This window comes from Homo sapiens, chromosome 9 (genome assembly GCF_000001405.40).
Source record: "Homo sapiens chromosome 9, GRCh38.p14 Primary Assembly".
Taxonomy (NCBI): domain Eukaryota; kingdom Metazoa; phylum Chordata; class Mammalia; order Primates; family Hominidae; genus Homo; species Homo sapiens.
In genome coordinates this window covers 33239395-33264981 of record NC_000009.12, presented here as the reverse complement: position 1 = coordinate 33264981, position 25587 = coordinate 33239395, and the positions used below count along the sequence as shown (strand labels likewise).

At 47.6% G+C, this 25587-nt stretch overlaps 2 protein-coding genes across 5 annotated transcripts, besides 4 other annotated features; one reads left to right on the top strand and one right to left on the bottom strand.

Moving 5' to 3' along the window:
- Positions 146-465: a silencer, noted in NCBI's record as "silent region_19833". NCBI's record gives its function as "represses an Ori minimal core promoter by ATAC-STARR-seq in GM12878 lymphoblastoid cells {active_cell/tissue: GM12878}" and the evidence as "EXISTENCE:reporter gene assay evidence [ECO:0000049][PMID:35858748]".
- On the top strand, positions 274-12511 carry BAG1 (BAG cochaperone 1). Of its 4 annotated transcripts, none has more exons than NM_004323.6 (7): positions 274-758; positions 2152-2280; positions 3813-3895; positions 5949-6062; positions 8074-8181; positions 9055-9117; positions 9674-12511. In NM_004323.6, the coding sequence occupies exons 1-7, from the start codon at positions 308-310 to the stop codon at positions 9761-9763; spliced, it is 1038 nt and encodes a 345-aa protein (NP_004314.6). In that variant the 5' UTR covers positions 274-307; the 3' UTR covers positions 9764-12511. All 4 variants share the same exon structure in this region, with proteins under 4 accessions (NP_004314.6, NP_001336215.1, NP_001336228.1 ...).
- Positions 496-1085: an enhancer, noted in NCBI's record as "active region_28290". NCBI's record gives its function as "activates an Ori minimal core promoter by ATAC-STARR-seq in GM12878 lymphoblastoid cells {active_cell/tissue: GM12878}" and the evidence as "EXISTENCE:reporter gene assay evidence [ECO:0000049][PMID:35858748]".
- Positions 1216-1265: an enhancer, noted in NCBI's record as "active region_28289". NCBI's record gives its function as "activates an Ori minimal core promoter by ATAC-STARR-seq in GM12878 lymphoblastoid cells {active_cell/tissue: GM12878}" and the evidence as "EXISTENCE:reporter gene assay evidence [ECO:0000049][PMID:35858748]".
- Positions 15960-16069: an enhancer, noted in NCBI's record as "active region_28288". NCBI's record gives its function as "activates an Ori minimal core promoter by ATAC-STARR-seq in GM12878 lymphoblastoid cells {active_cell/tissue: GM12878}" and the evidence as "EXISTENCE:reporter gene assay evidence [ECO:0000049][PMID:35858748]".
- On the bottom strand, positions 16415-24815 carry SPINK4 (serine peptidase inhibitor Kazal type 4). Its single transcript, NM_014471.3, has 4 exons — positions 24713-24815; positions 19830-19870; positions 18254-18366; positions 16415-16556 (listed from the first exon to the last, which is right to left on the bottom strand). Exons 1-4 carry the CDS (start codon positions 24771-24773, stop codon positions 16511-16513), a joined length of 261 nt encoding a protein of 86 aa, NP_055286.1. The 5' UTR covers positions 24774-24815; the 3' UTR covers positions 16415-16510.
- Positions 24816-25587: the final 772 nt, after the last annotated feature.

Sequence of the window (25587 nt, the reverse complement as noted above, 5' to 3'; positions counted from 1 at the left end):
CAATATGCCTCCTGGCGTTTCCCGATTCTTTTTCCGGATTTTCAGCCGGGTCTTCCGGGGATGGAGAGCAAAAGGACTTGGTGCTCTCGGAGAGAGCCTGCAGGGGGCGGGGTGTTGGTAGAAGGAGTGGGAGGGGTTTTACTGTAGCAAGGCGGGGCCTCAGTTGAGTGGGTGGGGCCTGGAGGCAACTAACGCGGCATAGGGCGAGGGCGGGGCCGGCAGGCCGGGGCGGGGCTGGGAAGTAGTCGGGCGGGGTTGTGAGACGCCGCGCTCAGCTTCCATCGCTGGGCGGTCAACAAGTGCGGGCCTGGCTCAGCGCGGGGGGGCGCGGAGACCGCGAGGCGACCGGGAGCGGCTGGGTTCCCGGCTGCGCGCCCTTCGGCCAGGCCGGGAGCCGCGCCAGTCGGAGCCCCCGGCCCAGCGTGGTCCGCCTCCCTCTGGGCGTCCACCTGCCCGGAGTACTGCCAGCGGGCATGACCGACCCACCAGGGGCGCCGCCGCCGGCGCTCGCAGGCCGCGGATGAAGAAGAAAACCCGGCGCCGCTCGACCCGGAGCGAGGAGTTGACCCGGAGCGAGGAGTTGACCCTGAGTGAGGAAGCGACCTGGAGTGAAGAGGCGACCCAGAGTGAGGAGGCGACCCAGGGCGAAGAGATGAATCGGAGCCAGGAGGTGACCCGGGACGAGGAGTCGACCCGGAGCGAGGAGGTGACCAGGGAGGAAATGGCGGCAGCTGGGCTCACCGTGACTGTCACCCACAGTGAGTGTCGGGCGCCAGGTGGGCTCCATGCAGGTCCCGAAAGCCCGGCGGGGTCTGTGGGTTTAGTCACGTGTCCTCCAGAAGCGTGTGACCTTGCGCTTGTCCTGGCGTCCGGAAGCGTGGGTTATTGGTTGTGTCCGTGGAACTGTCTTTTGTCCCGGGCTTGTGTCTGTACACTTTTCCATGTGGCCGGTGTATTTTGTCTCTGGTCATTTGTGCGATCCTGGGTGTTTGAGCTTCTCCGTGCTTTACGTCGTGGGCCTGGTTGTGTTTGTGTGCCCGCGCAGTTATTGTGCCCTTTGTGTCAGGCATATATTGGGCCATGTGGTCTACGACTGCTCCGTGTGTGATAAGTCAGAACTTCGTGCATGCCGGGGTGCTCCTCGTGTGCTGAGTGCCTTCTCCGTGTGCGCCGCTTGAGTTGGCCGTGGGTCCAAGCGTTGTACTCTGGGCACCCTTTGGGTCTGCCTACTGTTGGAGTTGACACACCACCAAATGAAGTCAGTACACCGGAGAGCTGAGTCCATGAGGTTTCTCTAGAACCAGCTAGGGGAGGCCCAAGGGTCTGGGAATCTGGAGACCTGGATTCTAGATCCTGCGGTTTTGAGTGACCTTGGGATGGACGGCTTCTTCTAAGAATCCGGTTTCTCCTCTGTGAAGTAGATTTGGTAACCCTGGCTCCTGCTGACCTCACGGAGCTGTTGGGGGAACCAAACCTTGGTGTAATGTACTGTACACAGGCTCCCTCCTTGCTGTCCGCATCCCTGGAAAAGAATTGGCGTCTCTTCTTCAGAAAGAAAGGCTCTGCTGTTCGTATGCATTTGTCTGTTTACTTAGCACAAATCATGGATGCACTCAAGTGTGTTCAGTGGGAGAGACTTGGAGGAAAACAGTCACTTGCCCATTACAGCAAGCGAGACGAGACCAATACAATACAGGGTACAGGGCAGTCAAGCCACAGGAAGCAGATGGCTTGTGATGAAAAAGGTGGGCTTGGGAATCAGCTAGATCTGATATCAACTTCTGATTCCAACAGTTGAGTCTCCATAGGCAGTCCTTAACTTGCCTGAAGTCACAGTTTGCTCATCTGTGAAATAAGAAGTAATAGGTAGATCTACTTCGTGGGGTTTATCTGAGGATTAAATTAGATTATGCATGAAATGCTTAAAATGTTAGCAGATATCATTCATATTGTTAGTTATTATAATAGAGGAAACAGAGATACTTGAGGAGGTCACCAGAGGAAAGCTGGGTGGCATGGGGGCAGGCTCTGTGGAGTAGGTGGCATATGAGCTGGGCCTTGAAGGCTGGGTAAATAAATGTGATAAAGTGTCATCCTATATTGGTGTATGTGAAAGAATCATATTCGTCAAATGCTTTTCTTTCTCCCCAGGCAATGAGAAGCACGACCTTCATGTTACCTCCCAGCAGGGCAGCAGTGAACCAGTTGTCCAAGACCTGGCCCAGGTTGTTGAAGAGGTCATAGGGGTTCCACAGTCTTTTCAGAAACTCATATTTAAGGGTAAGCATTTCTTTTTCTTTCTTTCTTTTTCTTTTTTTTTTTTTGAGACGAAGTTTCACTCTTGTCGCCCAGGCTGGAGTGCAATGGCACGATCTAGGCTCACTGCAACCTCCGCCTCCCGGATTCAAGTGATTCTCCTGCCTCAGCCTCTCAAGTAGCTGGGATTACAGGTGCATACCACCATGCCCGGCTAATTTTTGTATTTTTAGTAGAGACAGGGTTTCACCATGTTGGCCAGGCTGGTCTCGAACTCCTGATCTCAGGTGATCCACCCGCCTCGGCCTCCCAAAGTGCTGGGATTACAGGTGTGAGCCACTGCACCTGGCCAAGGGTAAGCATTTCTTTTCCGGCTTTTCCTTATGGCCAAAGGACAGTTTTAAAACTGCTGAACTTTTCCTAATAGTCACTCTGTTTTCAAACTGGGACAATTTTTATTTATTTGTTTATTCATTCAGTTCTTCAACAGATATTTATTGAGGACCTGCTAGGTATTGGACACTCTCAAACACCTGGACAGGTGTCAGATTTGAAGTCTTATGATGATGGCAGAAATCTCACCATTTTCGATGAAGCTCATGGGCAGTCTTCCCTCGCTAGGTTAGATCATCTTCCCATTATATGTTACCATGGTACTCCCTGCTATTTTTGCATCACTTCTATGAAATTACTATTAAATAATCATTTTCTTAGTTGCTTAACATCTGATTTCTCTGTTAAAATAACAGCCTCCGTGAGGGTGGAGATACTGCTGTGTTTCCAGTGCCTCCCATTGTTCTGACTCAAAGGAGGTTTTGAGCAAACTTACCTGAGGCCTGGATGTGGCGGGCTCAGTGGATGCATGATGCTCATTTCTGCCAGGACCCACACCCTCCTGGCCCCTGCCCTCTGTCTTCCCACCCCCCTGAGAATCTATCATTCTGGTATCCACTGGGGAAAGACTTACCCCATTGGGTGTCAGTCATTATAAAGAATTTAGTAATAGGAGGCATTTTTATTTATATTTCATAGTGTAACATATTGTCTTTAATTTTTAAAAATATTTTATTTCTGAATTATAAAGACAATAGAAATTCATGTTTCAAAATAGAGGAATGCATGAAAAAGAAAATGTTCCCCTGGATAAAACCCCTCATAATAACACTGTGTCATCAGCATTCATTGTGGTATTGGGGTTTCCTGCAAAAAATGAGCTTTAATGGCTACTGTAGACCTTAATGCCTACTGAAGACTTTAAAGTCTTCTGTAGTGTGGTTCGTTGGTCCCTGATTCCTGAATATTTGGCTCTTTCCAGTTTCTCACTATTATGAAAAGGTTGCACTGAATATTATCGTATAGTAGTTACTGTGGAGTCGCATGTCCAATTATTTGTTTAGGATAAATATCTGGAAATGAAATTACTGGGTCATGACACCCTCTAAAAAGATACCAGTTCTCATTAGTGAACACACTTGTCTATTTCCTGTATCCTGCTGAAATTTATTTTCAGTGTTGTACAATTATTACAACTTGGCCTACCTTTCTCCTCTTTTTAGGAAAATCTCTGAAGGAAATGGAAACACCGTTGTCAGCACTTGGAATACAAGATGGTTGCCGGGTCATGTTAATTGGGAAAAAGGTAAATTGCTTTTTCCATCAGAAATCCTCAGAATCAAATGACTGAAGTCTTTTATACATGTTTCTGTTTAGAAGACCAAACTGGGGACCCAGATTCTGCATTGATAAAACACCTCTCTAAACAAATACAATCTTTATTGGTTTTACAGGATTACCAGTTTTGTTGTTCTCATACCCTCCTGCTCCTGTTGGTTAGAACTTTTGCTCTAGGAATTAGGAGCGGTTGTGCTGCCTTAATAATATGTTTTTTGTTTTGGTGGTGGAATCTTGGTCTGGTTAAAATGGTGCCTGGGACAGGTCTCATTCACTTGGAGTAGAATTTGCAAGAGTCTTTTGTTAAAATAAACTTGTAGATATTAAGAATAATCACTCTGTTCCAGTTCAGGAGCCTCTCTCCCTTTAACCAACCTTTTAACTAAAATCTCCCACAAGGGAAAACCTTCGACTGGAAAGGAAGGTTCAGACTAAAGAACTGAGGGGAAAAAAAGACAGATGAGGTCAGCAACCCTTAAGGTGATGAGAGAGGGCTGTGGCCAGCCCTGCATTGTGACACAGCAGAATTATGAGCATATGAAGTTCCCTTATTGTGAGTTAGGTGGCTGAGTAGAGAGAGGGCAGATAAACAAAGTGAAGGCAAAAAAAATCTAATCCAGACTTGGAACTGCCAGGAGACTGGAACTCAGGACTTGCCACAAAGAGAAGTGAATAATTTGGGATAGCATAACTAAGCAGAAAGCTGCTAGACCTATCTATCAATTGTTTACCTGAGAGAAGAGGGAAATATTCTAAATTTCTTGCTTCAGGGTCAGGGAGAATGGTGATGGGCAACAGGCAGAACCAAAGAGTCAAGTTTGAAGAAACTATAGGACTTTTACTTGGAGCTGACACAGAGCGTATGGAGCGAAGTGTGAACTCAAGGAAGGCACCATGGCACATGCCTATTGTCCCAGCAAGTTGGGAGTCTGAGACAGGAGGATCACTTGAGTCCAGGGGTTTGAGGCTGCAGTGAGTTATGATCATGCCTGTAAACAGCCACTGCACTCCAACCTGGGAACCGTAGTGAGACCCTATCTCAAAAAAGAAAAAAGTCTGAACTTAAGTCTAATCTACCTCTTTTGGACTGTGTGATCTCATGTTACTTTACTACATTAAGCCTCAGTTTCATCATCTGTAAAACAGCAGTACTTCCCTGATGGAGTTGTGGTAAGGCTTAAAAAATAGGTAAGGTGCTTAGGATAGTGTGTGGCATGTAGGAAGTGTTCAATAAAAGTATTCATCGTTGTTAACCAGCATCACATTAAACAGGAGCGCTCAATTGGAGGCTGCCATTTAGGAATTCCATTTAAAGGAATGGTAGAATTCCACCTTTCTTGCCATTCTGGACTCCTCACAAGTGTTTACTGAAATGTGATTACCCTCCAGGCTTCAGTCTTGGTTGTTGATCAGTATAGGGCTGAGACTGAATCTGGCACTTGGATTGTCTCCATTCTCTGCACCCAAGCTGTCAGGGCCCTCACCAGAATGTTTACCTAACACCTTCTCTCTAGTCTGGAGTCTTTGTAGATGGAAAACTTGATGTATAACCCTTTGACTTGATTTCCAAGAAGCAACAGAGTTAAAACTGTTATTTCTAGGTGAGTGGCTTCATGCAGGTGTGGTCAGGTATTTTTCCTGACAGAGGCTGCTGTTCTTGTTGATTGCTTTTTCTTTTTTCTTTTTTTTTTTTGAGACAGTCTCGCTCTGTCACCCTGGCTGGAGTACAGGTGCACGATCTCAGCTCACTACAAACCTCCACCTCCCAGGTTCAAGCTATACTCCTGCCTCAGCCTCCCGAGTAGCTAGGACTACAGGTGCACGCCAGCATGCCTGGCTAATTTTTTTGTTTTTTTAGTAGAGACAGTGTTTCACCATGTTGGCCAGGCTGGTCTTGAACTCCTGACCTCAAATGATCTGCCCATCTCGGCCTCCCAAAGTGCTGGGATTACAGGCATGAGCCACCATGCCCAGCCTGTTCTTTTTGACTATTGGCTTTATTTTCTTCTTAAACATTTTAGAACAGTCCACAGGAAGAGGTTGAACTAAAGAAGTTGAAACATTTGGAGAAGTCTGTGGAGAAGATAGCTGACCAGCTGGAAGAGTTGAATAAAGAGCTTACTGGAATCCAGCAGGTAACTCTCTTCATGGACCTTAACTTTCTGCCTTCTATCAGAGCTTCCTGGATATAACTTGTGGTTATGGGGACATGTTCTGCAGTCAGACTCCCTGGGTTCAGATCCTGGATTCACCCTTTCTCTTACTGTGAACAAGTTTATCTTTGTCTCAAGTTCCTCATCTGTAAAAATGGAATAATGGTGACATTTCCCTATTAGGATTGTTGGGAGAATTAAATAATGTAGATTGAGCTTGACACATACTAAGTGCTTTATAAGCATTTATTGTCATAGTTATTGTCAAACCCCAGCCAGCATCCATTTATGCTCACAGGAGAGCACCTGCCTTGCTAGGATCATGTATTGTCTGAAATAGAACAAGTAGCTTCTCTCTGGGCTGTTGTAATGTGTTTGGCAAGGCAAATAACATTTTGTTGGTTCATAGAAGGTCCAAGTTGAACATGATAGTGGGGTTGGGGGAGTCATCCTATTCAATTCCTTATATTAGAGATGGGGTACTAAAACCCAGTAAGGATTAGGACTAGCTCAAGACCACTTTTATTTATTTTTCCCTCTCATTTTATAGCATTAATTGGGGTGTGTTTGTGTTTTGGCTTTTTTTTTTTTTTTTTTTTTTTTGATATGGAGTCTCGCTCTGTCACCCAGGCTGGAGTGCAGTGGTGCAATCTCAGTGGCTCCCTGTAGCCTCTGCCTGCCAGGTTCAAGTGATTCTCCTGCCTCAGCCTCCCGAGTAGCTGGGATTACAGGTGCCGCCTGCCACCACATCTGTCTGATTTTTTTGTATTTTTAATAGAGATGGGGTTTCACCATGTTGGCCAGACTGGTCTCAAACTCCTGACCTCAAGTGATCTGCCCGCCTCGGCCTCCCAAAGTGCTGGGATTACAGGCATGAGCCACTGCGCCCGGCCTATATGTTTGTGTTTTAATTACAGAATACATGCTGACTGTACAAAAGTTTTAAGTACATGTATAGGCACTAATATGGAAAATAAAAATTACCCATGGGGCACCAACTCAGAGATGACGATTACCAAAGCCTGAAATATATTTTTCATCTTAAAAAAATTTGATATAATGTTATTTACACTTTATAAACTATTCTTTTATTGGATAAAAAATTAAACATTTTCCTGTGATGGTATTTTTCAAAGCTCGCATGCATTTCATCTTGTATAAATGTATTATTTACCTAGCCAACTCTGTATTGTTCATTTAATATTATTTTTACCATTATGTGTAATGCTTCTTTGACTGTCCTTGGACGTAAATCTTTTTTGACCATTCCTGGTTTTTTTGGTAGAATAAATTCTTTGAGTTGGAATTGCTGGGTGATGTTTAAAGCTCTTGCTACGTGTTGTGAAATCTGTGTCTGTAGCTCGTGGCTGTGATAAACATCCTCAGAGATCCCTGCTATCCAACTCTTGTCACCAGCTAACTGGTCATTAGGCCAAGCTGTGTGAGTGAACCATTAGACAATTTGATAAAAATAAGCACTGCTGCCATTCTTTAGCATGCGTCTGTGCCACAAGTTAGTGACACATGTACATATATTCCCTTTACCTCACAGTAACCATCTAGGGTGTGGGCATCATAATCTTCATTTTTAAAATGAGGGTACTGAGGCATGAATAGGCTAAATAATTTGCTCAAGATCACAAGTTAGTAAATGGCAGTCAGTTTTCAGGCGTAGGCTTTGAAGACTCTAAACCTGTGCTTTTAACATCTGCCTCTTCTTGTGACTGGGGGCTTCACTGGAGCCAAGCCTCAGGAGGCATTTGCAGCCACAGTGGGTCATGCGAGGTAGAGCAGACTGCAACCTGATAGAATTCTTGGACTGGCCCACGGCCAGCCTTTTTAATTTTTCCAAGAGTTAAAGTTGTGGATCTGAGATGTGGCCTGGCCTGCCAGGGCTATGGTGGGCTCAGTGTGATTGCATCATTAGTATTGTGGCATGGAGTCTTCCGTCAGCCTCAGAGAACCCTTGCAATAATGCATTATTTCCCCGCAGGGTTTTCTGCCCAAGGATTTGCAAGCTGAAGCTCTCTGCAAACTTGATAGGAGAGTAAAAGCCACAATAGAGCAGTTTATGAAGATCTTGGAGGAGATTGACACACTGGTAAGTAAATATTCAGCTGAGAAGAACTAGTTTTCTTTGACTTTATTTCAGTCACATTCACTCTTTCAGTAATTTACTCTCCTATTGCCTGAGCAAACCCATCACTTGAGAATATTAAGCATCTACTATTGTGTGCCAGTCATGTTGCTAGGTCCTGGGTGAATGCATGATGATAAGACAGTTCCTGCTTTCTAGGCACTCACAGCCCTCCAGCATAGGACTTTTATCATTTACACTTATGTTTGCCAGTAGCATCTGTAATCGTCATGAAGCTGGGACCCAAGGAGTCCACGATCTCATGGTCCAGGAAACAGAGGATTTAACTTTCTCTGATGAATATGTGACTGATAATTCTGCAGGGCTCATTACTTATAGATGATTCAGCCAGACCCAGGTCATGTGAGGCCATTGAAAATCATTAACTCTTTTGCAGATGATAGTAATGATATCTCTAGCCTGATGCTTCATTCTTGAAGGTGAACTGCACTGTGTACTTCTGTTGGCCAGGGTGGGTGTAAAGAAGCAGCAGCAGGCACTTTTCCTGTCACAATGAGCCCATGGTGTGGCCAGGGCAGAGTATCCATACATAGGAAACAATAAAAGAACAAAGTCTGTGTTAAAGATCAGTTCCTATGGCCCAGACATTGAGAACACAGGGAGCTTTTATAGGGACAAGAGCCATGGAAAGGCCATACAGGATACAGACCCAGGGAAAGGGTTCCTGAAAATGGATATCACATTTACATTGGTGACCTGTGACCTGTTTTGTGTACTGTGGGTGTTTCTTATGTGCTCTCATGTCATTTTCACTGAGGATTATTTGTTACATGTTTACTATTTACTAACTTGTATTATCAACTTACTCTTCCATAGATCCTGCCAGAAAATTTCAAAGACAGTAGATTGAAAAGGAAAGGCTTGGTAAAAAAGGTTCAGGTGAGTTGTGTAATAGTGCACGACAAGGTGTAATATGTTAATGTGTAGGTATGTGTGTTTATCTGTTCAAAATCAGGTAGTGTAGGAGCGTGGTGTGTGGTATGGGCTTGTTTTGGTTATATTTATCAGCAGGAACCCCAAACGTCAGAGAAGAGCCACCTGTGTCCCTGTAATTATATTTGAATTTAAACTATTTAGGGAGGGAACTCACTGGAGAGCAGGTAGGGCTGACACATTACACAATTCCAGGAGGCAGTATTCATGCACACAGTGCTTCCTGCGATTGTGCAGTTGCTGTGCAGTGGCCCTGAGGCAAAGCTCCCTGCCTTTACCACCTTTTAGGGGATTGCTGGCCTAGAGCATGGTCAGAATGCTGGTCCTATGCTCCCTCCCTCCCCTTACCTTGGAACCCAGGCCAGTGGCCCATCTCCATTCATGCACAATCTGTTTTGAGTCTCAGCCATGGGTTCCCCAGAATGGGTAAGCAAGGAGCCTTGTGTGGGCAGTGGTCGGCTACCCCTGGATGGGCCCTTACTGCCCCGTGTGTATTTTCTAGGCATTCCTAGCCGAGTGTGACACAGTGGAGCAGAACATCTGCCAGGAGACTGAGCGGCTGCAGTCTACAAACTTTGCCCTGGCCGAGTGAGGTGTAGCAGAAAAAGGCTGTGCTGCCCTGAAGAATGGCGCCACCAGCTCTGCCGTCTCTGGAGCGGAATTTACCTGATTTCTTCAGGGCTGCTGGGGGCAACTGGCCATTTGCCAATTTTCCTACTCTCACACTGGTTCTCAATGAAAAATAGTGTCTTTGTGATTTTGAGTAAAGCTCCTATCTGTTTTCTCCTTCTGTCTCTGTGGTTGTACTGTCCAGCAATCCACCTTTTCTGGAGAGGGCCACCTCTGCCCAAATTTTCCCAGCTGTTTGGACCTCTGGGTGCTTTCTTTGGGCTGGTGAGAGCTCTAATTTGCCTTGGGCCAGTTTCAGGTTTATAGGCCCCCTCAGTCTTCAGATACATGAGGGCTTCTTTGCTCTTGTGATCGTGTAGTCCCATAGCTGTAAAACCAGAATCACCAGGAGGTTGCACCTAGTCAGGAATATTGGGAATGGCCTAGAACAAGGTGTTTGGCACATAAGTAGACCACTTATCCCTCATTGTGACCTAATTCCAGAGCATCTGGCTGGGTTGTTGGGTTCTAGACTTTGTCCTCACCTCCCAGTGACCCTGACTAGCCACAGGCCATGAGATACCAGGGGGCCGTTCCTTGGATGGAGCCTGTGGTTGATGCAAGGCTTCCTTGTCCCCAAGCAAGTCTTCAGAAGGTTAGAACCCAGTGTTGACTGAGTCTGTGCTTGAAACCAGGCCAGAGCCATGGATTAGGAAGGGCAAAGAGAAGGCACCAGAATGAGTAAAGCAGGCAGGTGGTGAAGCCAACCATAAACTTCTCAGGAGTGACATGTGCTTCCTTCAAAGGCATTTTTGTTAACCATATCCTTCTGAGTTCTATGTTTCCTTCACAGCTGTTCTATCCATTTTGTGGACTGTCCCCCACCCCCACCCCATCATTGTTTTTAAAAAATTAAGGCCTGGCGCAGCAGCTCATGCCTATAATCCCAGCACTTTGGGAGGCTGAGGCGGGCGGATCACTTGAGGCCAGGAGTTTGAGACCAGCCCAGGCAACATAGCAAAACCCCATTCTGCTTTAAAAAAAAAAAAAAAAAAAATTAGCTTGGCGTAGTGGCATGTGCCTATAATCCCAGCTACTGGGGAGGCTGAGGCACAAGAATCATTTGAACCTGGGAGGTAGAGGTTGCTGTGAGCCGAGATTACGCCCCTGCACTCCAGCCTGGGTCACAGAGTGAGACTCCATCTCAGAAAAAAAAAAAATTGAGTCAGGTGCAGTAGCTCCTTCCTGTAGTCCCAGCTACTTGGGAGGCTGAGGCTAGAGGATCACTTGAGCCCAGGAGTTTGAGTCTAGTCTGGGCAACATAGCAAGACCCCATCTCTAAAATTTAAGTAAGTAAAAGTAGATAAATAAAAAGAAAAAAAAACTGTTTATGTGCTCATCATAAAGTAGAAGAGTGGTTTGCTTTTTTTTTTTTTTTTGGATTAATGAGGAAATCATTCTGTGGCTCTAGTCATAATTTATGCTTAATAACATTGATAGTAGCCCTTTGCGCTATAACTCTACCTAAAGACTCACATCATTTGGCAGAGAGAGAGTCGTTGAAGTCCCAGGAATTCAGGACTGGGCAGGTTAAGACCTCAGACAAGGTAGTAGAGGTAGACTTGTGGACAAGGCTCGGGTCCCAGCCCACCGCACCCCAACTTTAATCAGAGTGGTTCACTATTGATCTATTTTTGTGTGATAGCTGTGTGGCGTGGGCCACAACATTTAATGAGAAGTTACTGTGCACCAAACTGCCGAACACCATTCTAAACTATTCATATATATTAGTCATTTAATTCTTACATAACTTGAGAGGTAGACAGATATCCTTATTTTAGAGATGAGGAAACCAAGAGAACTTAGGTCATTAGCGCAAGGTTGTAGAGTAAGCGGCAAAGCCAAGACACAAAGCTGGGTGGTTTGGTTTCAGAGCCAGTGCTTTTCCCCTCTACTGTACTGCCTCTCAACCAACACAGGGTTGCACAGGCCCATTCTCTGATTTTTTTCCTCTTGTCCTCTGCCTCTCCCTCTAGCTCCCACTTCCTCTCTGCTCTAGTTCATTTTCTTTAGAGCAGCCCGAGTGATCATGAAGTGCAAATCTTGCCATGTCAGTCCCCTGCTTAGAACCCTCCAATGGCTCACTTTCTCTTTAGGCAAAAGTCTTTACCCCATGCCTTCTCCCATCTCATCTCAACCCCCTCATTTGTTGGCTGTCTGCTGTCAGCCACTCTTCTTTCAGGTCCTCAGATGCACTGCACCCTCTCCTGCCTGGGGGTCTTTGCTCCTGCTACTACCTCTGCTTGAACAGCTCCTCACCTTCCTTCCTCCAACCCTACCCTTGTATAGGTGACTTTTGTTCATCCTTCAGAATTCAACTCACATGTCTCTTGCATGGAGAACCCTCACCTACTGTGTTGAGACCCTGTCCAGCCCCCAGGTGGGATCCTCTCTCGACTTCCCATACATTTCTTTCACAGCATTTACATAGTCCATGATAGTTTACTTGTGGGATTATTTGGTTAATCTTTGCCTTTAACACCAGGGTTCCTTGGGTGAAGGAGCTTCTTTATCTTGGTAACAGCATTATTTCAAGCATAACTTGTAATATAGTTATATTACATATATAACATATATATATATAACATAACATATATAACATATATAACAAGCATAACTTGTTATATAGTCTTGTATATAGTAAGACCTCAATAAATATTTGGAGAACAAATGAATGTTGAATGCACACATCAATAGTGAAACTTCTATAGCTGCATTTGGCCTCAGAATCTCCGTCAGCATTGGAATTTACAGCCTTAACAGCCTTTATTGTCTTAAGGGTTGAGAAAAGAGGCCCTAATGCATGGACTGCTGGGCAGATGTGATAGGTGATTGCACAGGCCCCACCCACGCAGATCTGCTCACCCAAGGGGTTTCTGCCTGTGAAACTCTTCTCCCGTGAGAAGGGGAGAGAGCACCCCTTCTTCTCCCGTGAGAAGGGGAGAGAGCACCCCTTCTTCTCCCGTGAGAAGGGGAGAGAGCACCCCTTCTTCTCCCGTGAGAAGGGGAGAGAGCACCCCTTCTTCTCCCGTGAGAAGGGGAGAGAGCACCCCTTCTTCTCCCGTGAGAAGGGGAGAGAGCACCCCTTCTTCTCCCGTGAGAAGGGGAGAGAGCACCCCTTCTTCTCCCGTGAGAAGGGGAGAGAGCACCCCTTCTTCTCCCGTGAGAAGGGGAGAGAGCACCCCTTCTTCTCCCGTGAGAAGGGGAGAGAGCACCCCTTCTTCTCCCGTGAGAAGGGGAGAGAGCACCCCTTCTCAGGTGCCCACTTGCCTGGGACATGGTAAGTCTTACCACAGGGAGAACAGATGGGAATGTGTGCTCCCACAAACGAATTCTTCGGCCTCAGGGCTGGAAGGATTCTCCCACATTGTTTTTTGTTTTTGTTTTTTTTTGAGATGGGTTCTTGCTCTCTTGCCCAGGCTAGAGTGCAGTGGCTTGATCTCTGCTCACTGCAACCTCCACCTCCTGGGCTCAAGCGATCCTCCCACCTCAGCCTCCCGAGTAGCTGGGACCACAGGTGCGTGCCACCATGCCCGGCTAATTTTTTGTGTTTTTGGTAGAGACAGGGTCTTGCCATGTTGGCCAGGCTGGTCTCGAACTCCTGAGCTTAAGCAATCTGTCTGTCTTGGCCTCCCAAAGTGATTGGATTACAGGCGTGGGCCACCATGCCCGGCCTCGACATTGTCTATTTAGTTAATGGTTTCTACTTATCCTTCAAGGCACAACTTAAAGGTTACCTCTTCTGAGACTCCTTCATATAGTAGTCAGGACCTTTGTCAAAAGTACCAGAAGCCAAGCTGGGCACAGTGGCTCACGCCAGTAATTCCAGCACTTTGGGAGGCTGAGGCAGGTGGATCACCTGAGGTTGAGAGTTCAAGACCAGCCTGACCAACATGGAGAAATCCCATCTCTACTAAAAATACAAAATTAGCCAGGCATAGTGGCGCATGCCTGTAATCCCAACTACTCAGGAGGCTGAGGCAGGAGAATCGCTTGAACCTGGGAGGCGGAGGTTGCGGTGAGCCGAGATTGCGCCATTGCACTCCAGCCTGGGCAACAAGAGCAAAACTCCATCTCAAAAAGAAAGAAGAAAGAAAAAAGGAAGAAAGAAAGAAGAAAAAGGAAGGAAGGAAAAAAAGGAAAGAAAGAAAAAGAATCAGAAGCCTAATTCCAAAGAGACTGGGCAAAATAGAAACTTTATGGTCATGATATCAAGTTATCCCATGTAATTTTGGGAAGGTCAAAGGCAGCCGGGCTTCAGGAACTCAAACACTGCCTGTAATCACTCTGCCTCTGCATGCCTGCATCATCCTCTCATTCCTCCTTCTTCCACAAAGCAGGACATGTGACTGCTGACAACCCCTGTGTTGCTCATCCTACAGCTTCAGTGCCAGAGGGGAACTGCCTCTGTTTGCTTGTTTCTAATTTGAAAGATCCTGGGGAAGAATCTTTTGGCTAATCAGCAATGGCCAGGGCAGCAGGGTCTCATGCCACACATAAGGTCTTTAGGGGCCAACACTTAGGTTTTGGGGTAGTTCCCAGAGAGGGGGCCACAGAGTCCACATCTGTAAGTGGTAAATTAGGTATTCCTTCCAGGTGGTGCCTGGCACATTGTTCAGGCTTAATCTCTGATTCCTCAGATGATGAGTAGAAGCCTGGGAAGGAAGGGTCACTGATGAGATGCTTGGCTGGGCTATGCCACTTGGGTATAAGAGGGGTGTCCCACTTAGGGCAGAAACTTTTAGATGTCACCAATATCCACTTTCTCCTCCTACAAAAAGTGAACTAATTTTTAGTTTAATGCATGGCCAACCAGATAGACTGTATTTCTCAGTCTCCCTGCTCAGAAGGCCATGAGACTACATTTTAGCTAATGTGGTTTATACAGAGTGTGTATGTCTTAAGGGAAATGTCTTCAGAGGCAAGTGGCGTGCCCTTTCTCTCTGTGGCCTAGAATGCAGATGTGATGGCTGTGGTTGGAGTAGCTGTCTTGGACCTGAGGTAGAAACTGTGATGCGGATGGCAGAGTAACAAAATAGAGGAGCATGGAGTTGTCATACTACATAGGTCTATGTGTAGGAGAAATGAAGTTCTGGCTATAAGTCACTGTTATTTTGGGTTTTCTGCCTCTCACAGCCAAACTTAATCCTACATCATTCATATGCAGGTATGAAACAGGTATGAATCAGTCCCAGTAGAAGGCCTTATTCATAGATGGCCTCCTAGGCCTGCCACCTGCAAATCTATCAGCAACAATTCCTGCTCAGTGTTCCCATTCCAGTGGTCCAAGAGAAAGTAGCTTCCTGCCTTCCTGTGCCCATTCTCTCAGACATGTGTCTTCTACAGAGCATTTCCTGCCCTTTCTGCCCACTCTGCAGCAGGAATCAGAGTCTGTGTGAAACTGCTTTCACCTGCCCAGGCCTCTCTCCATACCCCTTTCTCCTGCCACCATTATCAAGAGGCTCTGCCTAGGGGCTTTGGCCAAAAGAGGAGGTATTCAACATATACCACAGGAGGGAGTCTCTGTCTATGGTGACAATTCTGAACACTGTGTGTCCCTGTGGGACATTGTGTGAGTGCATGTGTGCAGGACGTGCCTGGGGCTGTGTCTAATGTCAGAATATTTGACAACCAGTCAGAGCAGATGTTGACCAAAAGAGCAGAGCAGCATCTCGAAATCATCCCACAGTGCCAGGAATTAACCCCAGACTGTGGAAACCGAGAGACCCAGGTGTTTCCAGGGGACAATCTGGGTGGCTAGGGTATGGGGGGGCACTCAAAGGGCTTGGGGCATCACCTGTTTTCGATTGTGAAAAACCTAGTTCAATGTTACAACAAGCAGTTCAGCTGTACTGTGTACACTGCCTGAATATCAGCCATTGCTGTGCCACGTGTCTGTGTGTACATGCCTTGGAGTGCTGGCACAACCCAGGAGGAAGCCATGGGGGGCACAGGATGACTCTCACAAAGCTTTTTTTTTTCTTTTTTGAGGCAGGGTTTCACTTTGTCACTCAGGCTGGAGTGCAGTGATGCGATCATGGGTCACTGCAGCCTCGACTTCCTGGGCTCAAGCAATCCCCTCCCACCTCAGCCTCCTGAATAGCTGGGACTACAGGTGCATGCCACCAAGCCTGGCTAATTAAAAAAAAAAAAAATTGTAAAGACAGTCTTGCTATGTTGCCCAGGCTGGCCTGAAGCAATCCTGCCACCCTCAGCCTCCCAAAGTGCTGGGATTATAGGTATGAGCTACTGTTCCTGATTTCACAGAGGCTTTCTGAGGCTGGGCCGTGCACCCCAGCAGTGGCAGAGGATACAGACCTCACCTAGGTTCTTGGCCTGAATGATAGTCCAGGCTGGGGCAGACAGGAGTACTAGGCAGCATCCTGGGGTCAGGGACTGGCCTCTCAGGCAGGCAGAAGATAACTGGGACCTCTGAGGGGACATGTGACAGGGTTGAGGAGCACCAGAGGGACGGAGAGAAGCTGGACATCAAATTCAGAGTAGAGGCGACAATGCAAGATCCACCTCCTATCCCCTCTGCAACCAGTGTCCCCAGAGACACTGACCACTTCACTCAGTTGGGCTGGATCTTTTATTTCATGTCATATCCTCTCCATGCCCACCACTGTTCTCCAGCTGACACTTCATGGCTTGAGGTGCTCCTGTGGGATCAGCATTTGCCATCTTTCATGATCTGGATGTCCTGTTTGGTTTTTCTAGGATCAAAGAAGACAGGCATGAGGCTACCTTCTCAGGAGCTGTAGTGTACCATTCAGGGACCTGGCACAGTCCATCCAGACATCCTGCTGAGCGTCGCCCACATATGCAGTGTATGGATACAGGGCAGATCCCAAGGGTCCATGGGCACATCCTTCTACAGCTTTTCCTTTTTTGTACACCCTTCCCCTGGGGGATTTTAGCTTCCTGGGGTTTCCACCACCAGCGCACGCTGATGGCTGCCAAATCTGTCTCCAGCTCGGACCTATGTCCTACCTGTTCATGCAGTTGTCCATATCCAGTGGGATGTCCTAGGGGCTCAACTGTCCACAAACATCACTGCCCCCCACAGAACTGGTACAGACCCCCAAACCACCCATCTCAGCCCATGAAACCACTGGCCACCCAAGCCCACAAATCAGAAACCAGTATGCTGCCTCCTTCCCCTCAGCCTTTACATACAGTCACATACCAAGCCTGTCAATTCCACTCCCAATGTACCTCCTAACCATGAGTCTTTGATTAGCATGATCTTTCTCTAAGCTAGGACAACATCCTGATGTTCCTTATATTTCCTCAAATACAAACTTTCACATCTATCCAGAGCTTTGCAGCTTCCGAGGACTTTCTTCACTTCCATGGTCTCATTTAGTTCTCAGGATCATAGAAGATGGGTTTTATTGATGAAGAAACTAAGAGCCAATAGGTGATCTGATGTAGGGAGGTCATGTTCTAGCCCTGCTCATCTTTCTGGACTCACTTCTTGCCTCTCCCTGATTCTCCCTTAAACCTTATACTCCAACATGTCCAACTTCTTATATTTCCTCAAATGTAAACTTTTCCTTGTAGACCTTTTCAAATTCATCTACTTGGAATTATCTTCCCTTGCTCCTTTTTCCTAGCTAATTTCTACTTATTCCTGTGTGCCCCACTGATCCCTTAGAATTCTGTGCTGAAGGCCGGGCACGGTGGCTCATGCCTGTAATCCTAGCACTTTGGGAGGCTGAGGCGGGTGGATCACTTGAGATCGGGAGTTCGAGACCAGCCTGGCCAACATGGTGAAACCCCATGTCTACTTAAAATACAAAAAAAAAAAAAAATTAGCCAGGTGTGGTGGTGGGCGCCTGTAATCCCAGCTATTCGGGAGGCTGAGGCAGGAGAATACTTGAACCCAGGAGGCGGAGGTTGCAATGAGCCAAGATCGTGCCACTGCACTCCAGCCTGAGTGACAGTGAGAGTCTGTCTCAAAAAAAAAAAAAAAAAATTCTGTGCTGCAATTGGCTGACTATCAGCCTGGCTTCCCCCTTACACCAATTGTATGTTCCAGAAGGCCAGTGATGCTGTCTAACTTAGGCTCTGTTCTAGCCCCAGTGCCTAGCACATAGTAAATGCTCAATAAATAATTGCTGGCTAGACGAATGAAAAAACAGATGAGGTCACCTAGTCAATCAAGGCAGAACAAGGAAAATGGTTTCTGCCCCTACTCCCTATCCACCACCAGCTTCTAGATTTCTGCTTGGAACCATGTGCCTTCTTTGAGTTAATCTGGCACTCATTCTATTAGGGGCATATGTTGGAGGACTCTTCTCAGGTCAAGCGTGTATGAAGGAAGAAGCAGGTCAAGTCTTGCTCCTTTCAGACTGTGCACCAGAGATGGGGCCCACCCAAGCAAGCAGGGGTTGTGGGGCAGACTTACATCCGGGCCAAGCAGAGCTGGCATTCATTCGTATATGTGAGCCCATCAGTGCCGCAGACCAGGTTGGACATCTGGGAACAGGTTGGAGACTCTACCATGTGTTCACAGATGGGCTGTGGAAGAGAAGGGAGGGAGAGGACTCAGGGATTCAGAGGCAGTGGGGAGGGATACAGGGGTTCTGCTCGGAACCAGTGGGGCCCCAGTGAGGTATCAGAGTCAAGAAGGCCCCCAGTGTGGGTCCAGTGAAGATGAAACCAACCACTCAGAGCCCCTTGGTGTGTTTGCTTGTATGTGCGTGTGCATGACCACGTGTGTGCCTATGGCTGGATGTGTACATATGTGTACCTGTGTCTCTGGAGCCCCCGGTGTGCAGGCATTCAAGCGTATGCCTGTGTTTATGTCTATGTGTGTGGAGTGAGTTTGTGCCCTCAAGCTCCTGGGGACTTGTTCACACCCTCTTCAGAGGCACTAATCAGAACTTCTGCTGGTCCCATTGAAGACCCCAGGATACGGAACCACCCATCATTCCCAGGAGGCCCCTCTCTCCCTGGGGGCTCCTGAACTCTCCCTGGCCTGCATGATCTATCAGGCCCATGTCAGAAAGGCTGCAAAGTGTGCGAAGGCTGAAGAAATGGGGCAGAGCTTGGGGCTTAATTGAGGCTGTCTGAAAGGGTTTTAGGACAGGCCTGAGGTCAAGGTGAGAACTCAGTCAGGACTGGCATTAGTGCCTGAGACAGGGATAGGCTGAGAAAGGTTGTGCGGTGCAACCGTGAAGGCCCGAACCCTAGAAACCTGAATTTTGCCACTGATTAGCTGTATAACCTTAATTGAGGTATTTCCACTCTCTGAGTCTCAGTTTCCTCATCTGTAAAAATTATAATAGTGGCGTTTCTCTCACATAGGGCTAATTGAAATAATGTATGTAAACTATTTGGCTCTTTGGCACTGAATAAGCGGGGCTGGATTCTGATGGACTGACGGGGACGATGCTGAGGCTGTGGATGGGAAGGTGGCTCCGAGCCTCCTCATTCCACTACATGAAGGGGCAATCTCAAGAGTCTCAAGGATGCCAGTACCACTGCCTTCTGGGTCACTGGGGGCATTAGGCCAAGGGCCAAGGTGGAATCAGGATTCGGGGACAACTTGGTGTTTAGACAATCAGATGGAATGTGGTGGTGGGAGGCTGGCACACTCCACAGGTGCTTTCAGTGTGCCAGGGTCCCCTCTTTGGCCTGAACTCTGTGGCCTGCCTGTCTGCACTATACAGAGCAGAGAGCACACCCTGTCCTGCTAAGCCTGGGTGGGGAGATCTCACTGATGGAAGGGGCCTTGGACACCAGGTGGGGGACATCATAAGGGCTTTGAGGCCAATCTTGGGACTTGGGTGAGGGGGCTGGGCCTACTCAGCCTTGGGGGCTAATGTGGGGAATGTGCAGGCCAGGAGGCCACCTTGGCCACCTTGGAGCCATTGAAGGTGTCTGAGCAGGATCGTGGAGAAGAATAACTGGTTTCTCAGCATGGACGAGAGGACTCCTCTCAGCAGAGAGAAGGTGAGAACAACACGCAGCTGCCTTACCATTCTTGAGAAAGGGAGCTTTCCTGCTGCCACTGGCACTTCTGAAACACAAAGAAGCAAGAATTAGATTATGCCGGCTCTAGACCCCAGGTCTAGGGGTCTGAGGACTGCTTCTGCTTCAGGGAGCTTGGTCCAGCAACTACCCAACCTGGAATTCCTCAAGGAAAGGTGATGAGCCACCAGACAATGGGGCTGCCAGAAAGCTGATGTGATCTTGGGTTCCATAAACAGAGACAGAAATTCAAAAATTAGGAAGGTGACAGTCCAGCCTATTCCTTGTTAGTTAGATCCCACTGGAATTGTTGTGTCCCATATAATAATTATAAAATAGCAATTCAGCAGTTATTATGTGCCGGGCATTGAGAACACATGATTTTAACTCCTCTCCACCCCTATCTTACTGCTGTGTAACAGAGGGAAGAAAGGAGATAGTAGTGGATGCTGTGTTCTGCCATCAAGAGCCCTCGCGCAAGTCTGAGGCACTCATTTCCCCTGCTGCCAGAAATATTGACCACTCACTGCAAGTCTCTTCCTAGGAATTACCCTCAGAGAATGAAGCTGCCTTGCCCAGGGCTGCATCCACTACCCAGGAACAGCCCATATCCCATGTCGGGTTGATGTGGTTACAAAGGGCCTGATCCCCTCGCCCAAAGCTGCCTGTAGGATCATCTGAAGCCTCTGTTGTGCTGCATGGAAGTCAACTTCCCTCATCCTTCATGGATGTTACTCCCATGAACGCTCCCCAGTAAATTGCATGTATAGCTCAGAATCTGTTTCCTGGGGCATAGGTCAGTTTAACGAACTACGAAAGAGGCTCAAAGAGGTGACGCAATGCAGTTTGTTAAGGCAGAGGTAGGATTTTCCCACACGTCTGTTGCAGTCCAGAGCCTGACTCTTTCTACATACACTGGTGTACCCCTCAAGGTCTGGCTGAACTGCTTAAAGGACATGAGCAAACTGTGATGTGACTGACAAGCATGATGGGTGGATGAGGGAACTGGAGCTATGTCTAATGGCACAGGTGGAAGGAAGGGCGTTTATGTAAATTAGAGAAGGGCAGGATGCTCCCTGAAGTCTCTGAAGGGCTATCCTGGGGCTGAGGGAGAGATGGACTCTTTTCAACCTCACAAAGCAGAGCCCATCTCTGTGAGGAGGCTGCAGGGAAGCAGGTTTGGGTTCCATATGAAGCAGAATTTTCTCTCAGTGGGAGCTATGCCACAGTGAAAGAGGCTTTCTCCAGAAGTAGTGAGTTTCCCATCACTGGAGGTGTGCAAGGCAATGTAGTTTTATATTTTCCTGGAGATGCTATTACAGGGTATTTCCACAGAGAGAGGGAAACAGAAACTTAGACTAAGTCACCCCAATGTGCTGTTTAAGCCTGGCATTGGGGTATCAAAATGCAAACCTAGACCTGTCACTGAACTGCTTAAAACCCTTCCATGTCAAATTGCCCAAACTGAAAGTGATCCAAATGTCCTTCAACAGGAGAATGGATAAATAAATACAATGGGGCACTACTGAACAATTAAAACAAGCAACTGATACATGCAATAACGTGGCTGAATCTCAAAAATAGTTTGCTGAGCATAAGAAACCACACACAAAAGATTATATACCCTATGATTCCATTTATGTGAAATCCTAGAACAGGCCAACTAATCTATGATGGAAAAAAATCACATTGGGAAGCTGGGGCAGGAGGATCACTTGAAGCCAGGAGTTTGAGACCAGCCTGGGCAACATAGCAAGACCTCATCTCTACAAAAAATTTAACAATGAGGGCAGGTTGCAGTAGCACACACCTGTAATCCCAGCGCTTTGGGAAGCTGAGGCAGGTGGATCACCTGAAGTCAGGAGTTCGAGACCAGCCTGACCAACATGGTGAAACCCCATATCTACTAAAAATACAAAATTTGCTGGGCGTGGTGGTGCACACCTATAATCCCAGCTATTTAGGAGGCTGTGGCAGGAGAATCACTTGAACCCAGTAGGCAGAGATTGCAGTGAGCCAAGATTGTGCCACTGGACTCCAACCTGGGTGACAGAGCAAAACTCCGTCTCAAAAATAAATAAATAAATAAATAAAAATAAATTTAAAAAAATTTTTAAATTAGCTGAGTGTGGTGGCACGCACCTGTAGTCCCAGCTACTTGTGAGGCTGAGATAGGAGGATCGTTTGAATCCAGGAGGTTGAAGCTGCAGTGAGCTATGATTGCACCACTGCACTCCAGCCTGGGCAACAGAGTGAGACTTTGTCTCTTAAAAAAAAAAAAAAAGTGTCAGAGCACTGGGATGGGGGCAGGGATTGACTGACATAGGGGAATTTCTGGGGCTATGGAAATGTTCTGTATTTATTTTTCTTCCCTAAGTCCTTGTCTCAAGAGGTCCTGTATCTTGATGGGGGTTTGGGTTACACGAGTGTATACATTGTCAAGATTCATCGAGTGATAAGATTTGTGCATTTCTTGATATTTAACTGTTAGGGAAAAGAAAAGCATTTAAAAAATATAAAGCCCTTCCGTGGTTCCCTGTCCTGATCACTAAGCCTCCCTATGGACCTGAGCTGCTTAGTCTTATGTTTAGGGTACTGCGTAAGCTGACCCTAAACTTGCTTCTTGGGCTGACTTCCCAGTACACCTCTCCATGCCCCAGCTATTCCTCTCTGCTCACGGGTCCTAGATTGGGCCCTGCTTTGGCTCATGCCATGTCCCCTCCCTGAAATGTCTTCGTCTCCGTTCTCCTCCCGCCGAATCATACCCTCCTTTCAAGGCTTGATGCTGCCCCCCAGTGAAGCTGTCCTTGACGTCCCCAACAGTTTCCTGAGCAGATCTGGATGGAGGCTTCTTTCACACCACCATGTACTGTCCCACTCACTGGGTCACCCCGCCTCCCTATGCACCTGAGCTCCTTGGGGTTCCTTTATGTCTGCCTTTGCGCAGCACTTGGTTCAATGTCCTACACTGTGGGTGTTCAGGAATTGAATACTAAAGTGCATTGGTGTAATCCCAGCACCTTGGGAAGCCGAGGCGGGCAAATCTTGGGGTTGGAAGTTCGAGACCAGCCTGGCCAACATGGTGAAACTCCGTCTCTACTAAAAATACAAAAATTAGTTGGGTGTGGTGGCATGTGCCTGTAATCCCAGCTACTCAGGAGGCTGAGGCAGGATAATTGCTTCAACCTAGGAGGCAGAGGTTGCAGTGAGCCAAGATCGTGCCACTGCACTCCAGCCTGGGCAACAAAGCAAGACTCTGTCTTGAAAAAAAAATTTTTGTTTAAATAAAAAAAAAAATTAAAGTGTATTGGGAGGAGGGGGTGTTCAGAACTCTAAGATGTCAGAGTTTCTTTCTGGGGGATGTGGGGAAAAGCTACATTTACCCCCAGGCTGCCCTTGACCTTGACCCAAAATGCCCCCTCCTCACTCAGCCCAGGCAGTAGTCTGAAATGTGCAAAAAACAAAAACAAAAACAAACAAACAAAAACCAAACTTCTTCAGAGCAGGCTTTTCAGTGTTCCCAACTGCTCAAGGAGTAGGTAGGTGTAGGTGCCAGGCTGGGCGTAAGCAGGCTGCTCCTGAACAGGTCCCCAGACCCGTTTCCCTTTCCCCCTGTGCCCAGGTCTGTTTCCAGCTGGGGAAATGGGTGTGGGACTGGCCATGAGGTCAGTGGCCCTGGATCCTGCCAGGCGTTGCCTTATAACTTATGGCTTTTGTCCAGGCGGGTCCTAACTGGTCTCCCCGCTTCCCTGTTCAGTTTATTCTCAATGTACCAACCAGAGCAACCCTTGAAAGACATAACTCTCTGCTCAAAGCTTTCAGTGCCTCCCATTTTAGTCAGAGGAAAAGCCAAGTTCTTATGTTGGCCAACAAGGTCTTTCCCGGTACAGTTCCAATTTGCCTCTCTCATCTCCTCTCCTATCACTCCGTACAATGTCCCCTCCTGCCACACTGGTCTTACAGTACCTCAGTCACTCCAGGCATGCCCCTGCCTCAGGTCCTTTGCACCTGAGCTGTTCCCTCTGCCTGGAATCTTCTCCCAGATATCCACATGGCTTAGTCCCTCATCTCCTTCAAGCTTTGCTCAAACATCGGACTCTCAGAGATACCTCCCCTGATTTGAAATTGCAACCCCCTTCCAGTGCCCATCACCCTGCCAAGTATTTTTTCCTTAACTTTTATCAGCTTCTAACATACCGTTTAACATACATTGTAACCATCTTGTTTATTGCCTTTCCCCTTTTCCTCTACCCCATTGGATTTATGCTCCATCAGGACCGTGCTTTTTCTGTTTGGGTCACTAATCTGTCTTAAGGGCTCAGAACAGTGCCTGACATGGTAGCTGTGAGATTGCAGGGATGGCCCAGATCCTGAGAGGGCCCTGCCCCAAGTATATGTGTCCAGTCCTGGGAAAGGGCTCTGTCGTGCTCACATGGCTGCCCAAGTCCCAAACCACAGCCTTTCAGAGAGATCGGGAGCTCAGAAGACCTCGGCCAGGTCTCTCTTAGCATCCACCACCCTGCACCCAGCATACTTGTCAGTCTCTCCTGAGAGCTGGGACCTACCTGCTCCCTTCTGTCCCCACAGCCTCCAGCCCAATAGTTGCTCAGTGCAGCTTTGAACTGGAACAATGCCCTCTTTTACAGCTGGAGAAACTGAGGCCCCAAGAGGGTAGGGGACTTTGGTAATTCTGCGCCAGTCAGGATTTGAACCCAAGTTTCTTTTCTCCCAGCCCAGAACTTTCCCCAGCACAGTGGAGGGTGCATATGCAGAATGAAGGTACATGGAAAAAGCTGAGGCCTCACAGGGTGCTCCAGGCCCTGCTTCTGCTCTCACCCCAAGCTCACCTACCAACACAAAGCCACAGAGAATCCAGGTTCTGCCCACTCACCCCTGTCCACAACAAGGAGGGCAGCCAAGGCCAGGGCGATTACCCACTGGCGGACGGCCATGCTGATCCTGGGATAGTGTAGCCTGAGCTGGCTGGGGCCTGCGCCTGAGGAAGGATGGGGGCCTATTTATAGTGCCGCTCTCCTAATCTTATCTTATCTAGGGCCAGATGGAGAGACCAGAGTTAATCTTTGCACGCTGACATCCGGAAAGGGCTTGCTCTAGGTGCAGATGCTGAGCTTTTGATGAGATGGGGCTGTGGCCATGGGGCTGGCAGGTTTCCAGAGTGACAAAAAGTTTGGACAACTTGCAAAGCTGACTCCAATCTGAGGGTTGGAGCAAGGAGAGGAAAGTTGAAGTAGAAAGAGAGAGAGTTCAAGGCAGAGAGAAGGGGAAAGAGATAGAGAAAGAGAGAAAGGAAAAAAGCAACTGGAAGATGGCAGGAGGCAGAGAAGGGGGCTGGAGCCTGGATTCCTTTGCCAGTGCCTCCAGCAACCAACTCTGGGACCTCGGTAGAGCCACTTTTCTTAACTGGGCCTCAGATCACCCATGCACGAAGTGGAGATGAGACTTTTGGCTCTGCCTTTCTCCCAGGCTGCTGTGAGGATGGCGGCGGTGATAGCAGACGGGAAAACATTTTGCAGAATATGAAATGAGCTGTAAACGTAAGCAGAAATGATCATTTTTACTTACTTTTATTTCACTTATTTTTTTGTACCGCAAAGTGGGCACAACTAACAGGCAAAACAAAGGCAAAATAAAACATTAAAAGGAAGATGCCTTCTTGCTTTGCAGGTATTATGTGTTCATTTGCTTTTTTTTTTTTTGAGACAGAGTCTCACACTGTTGCCCGGGCTGGTGTGCCTGGCGCGATCT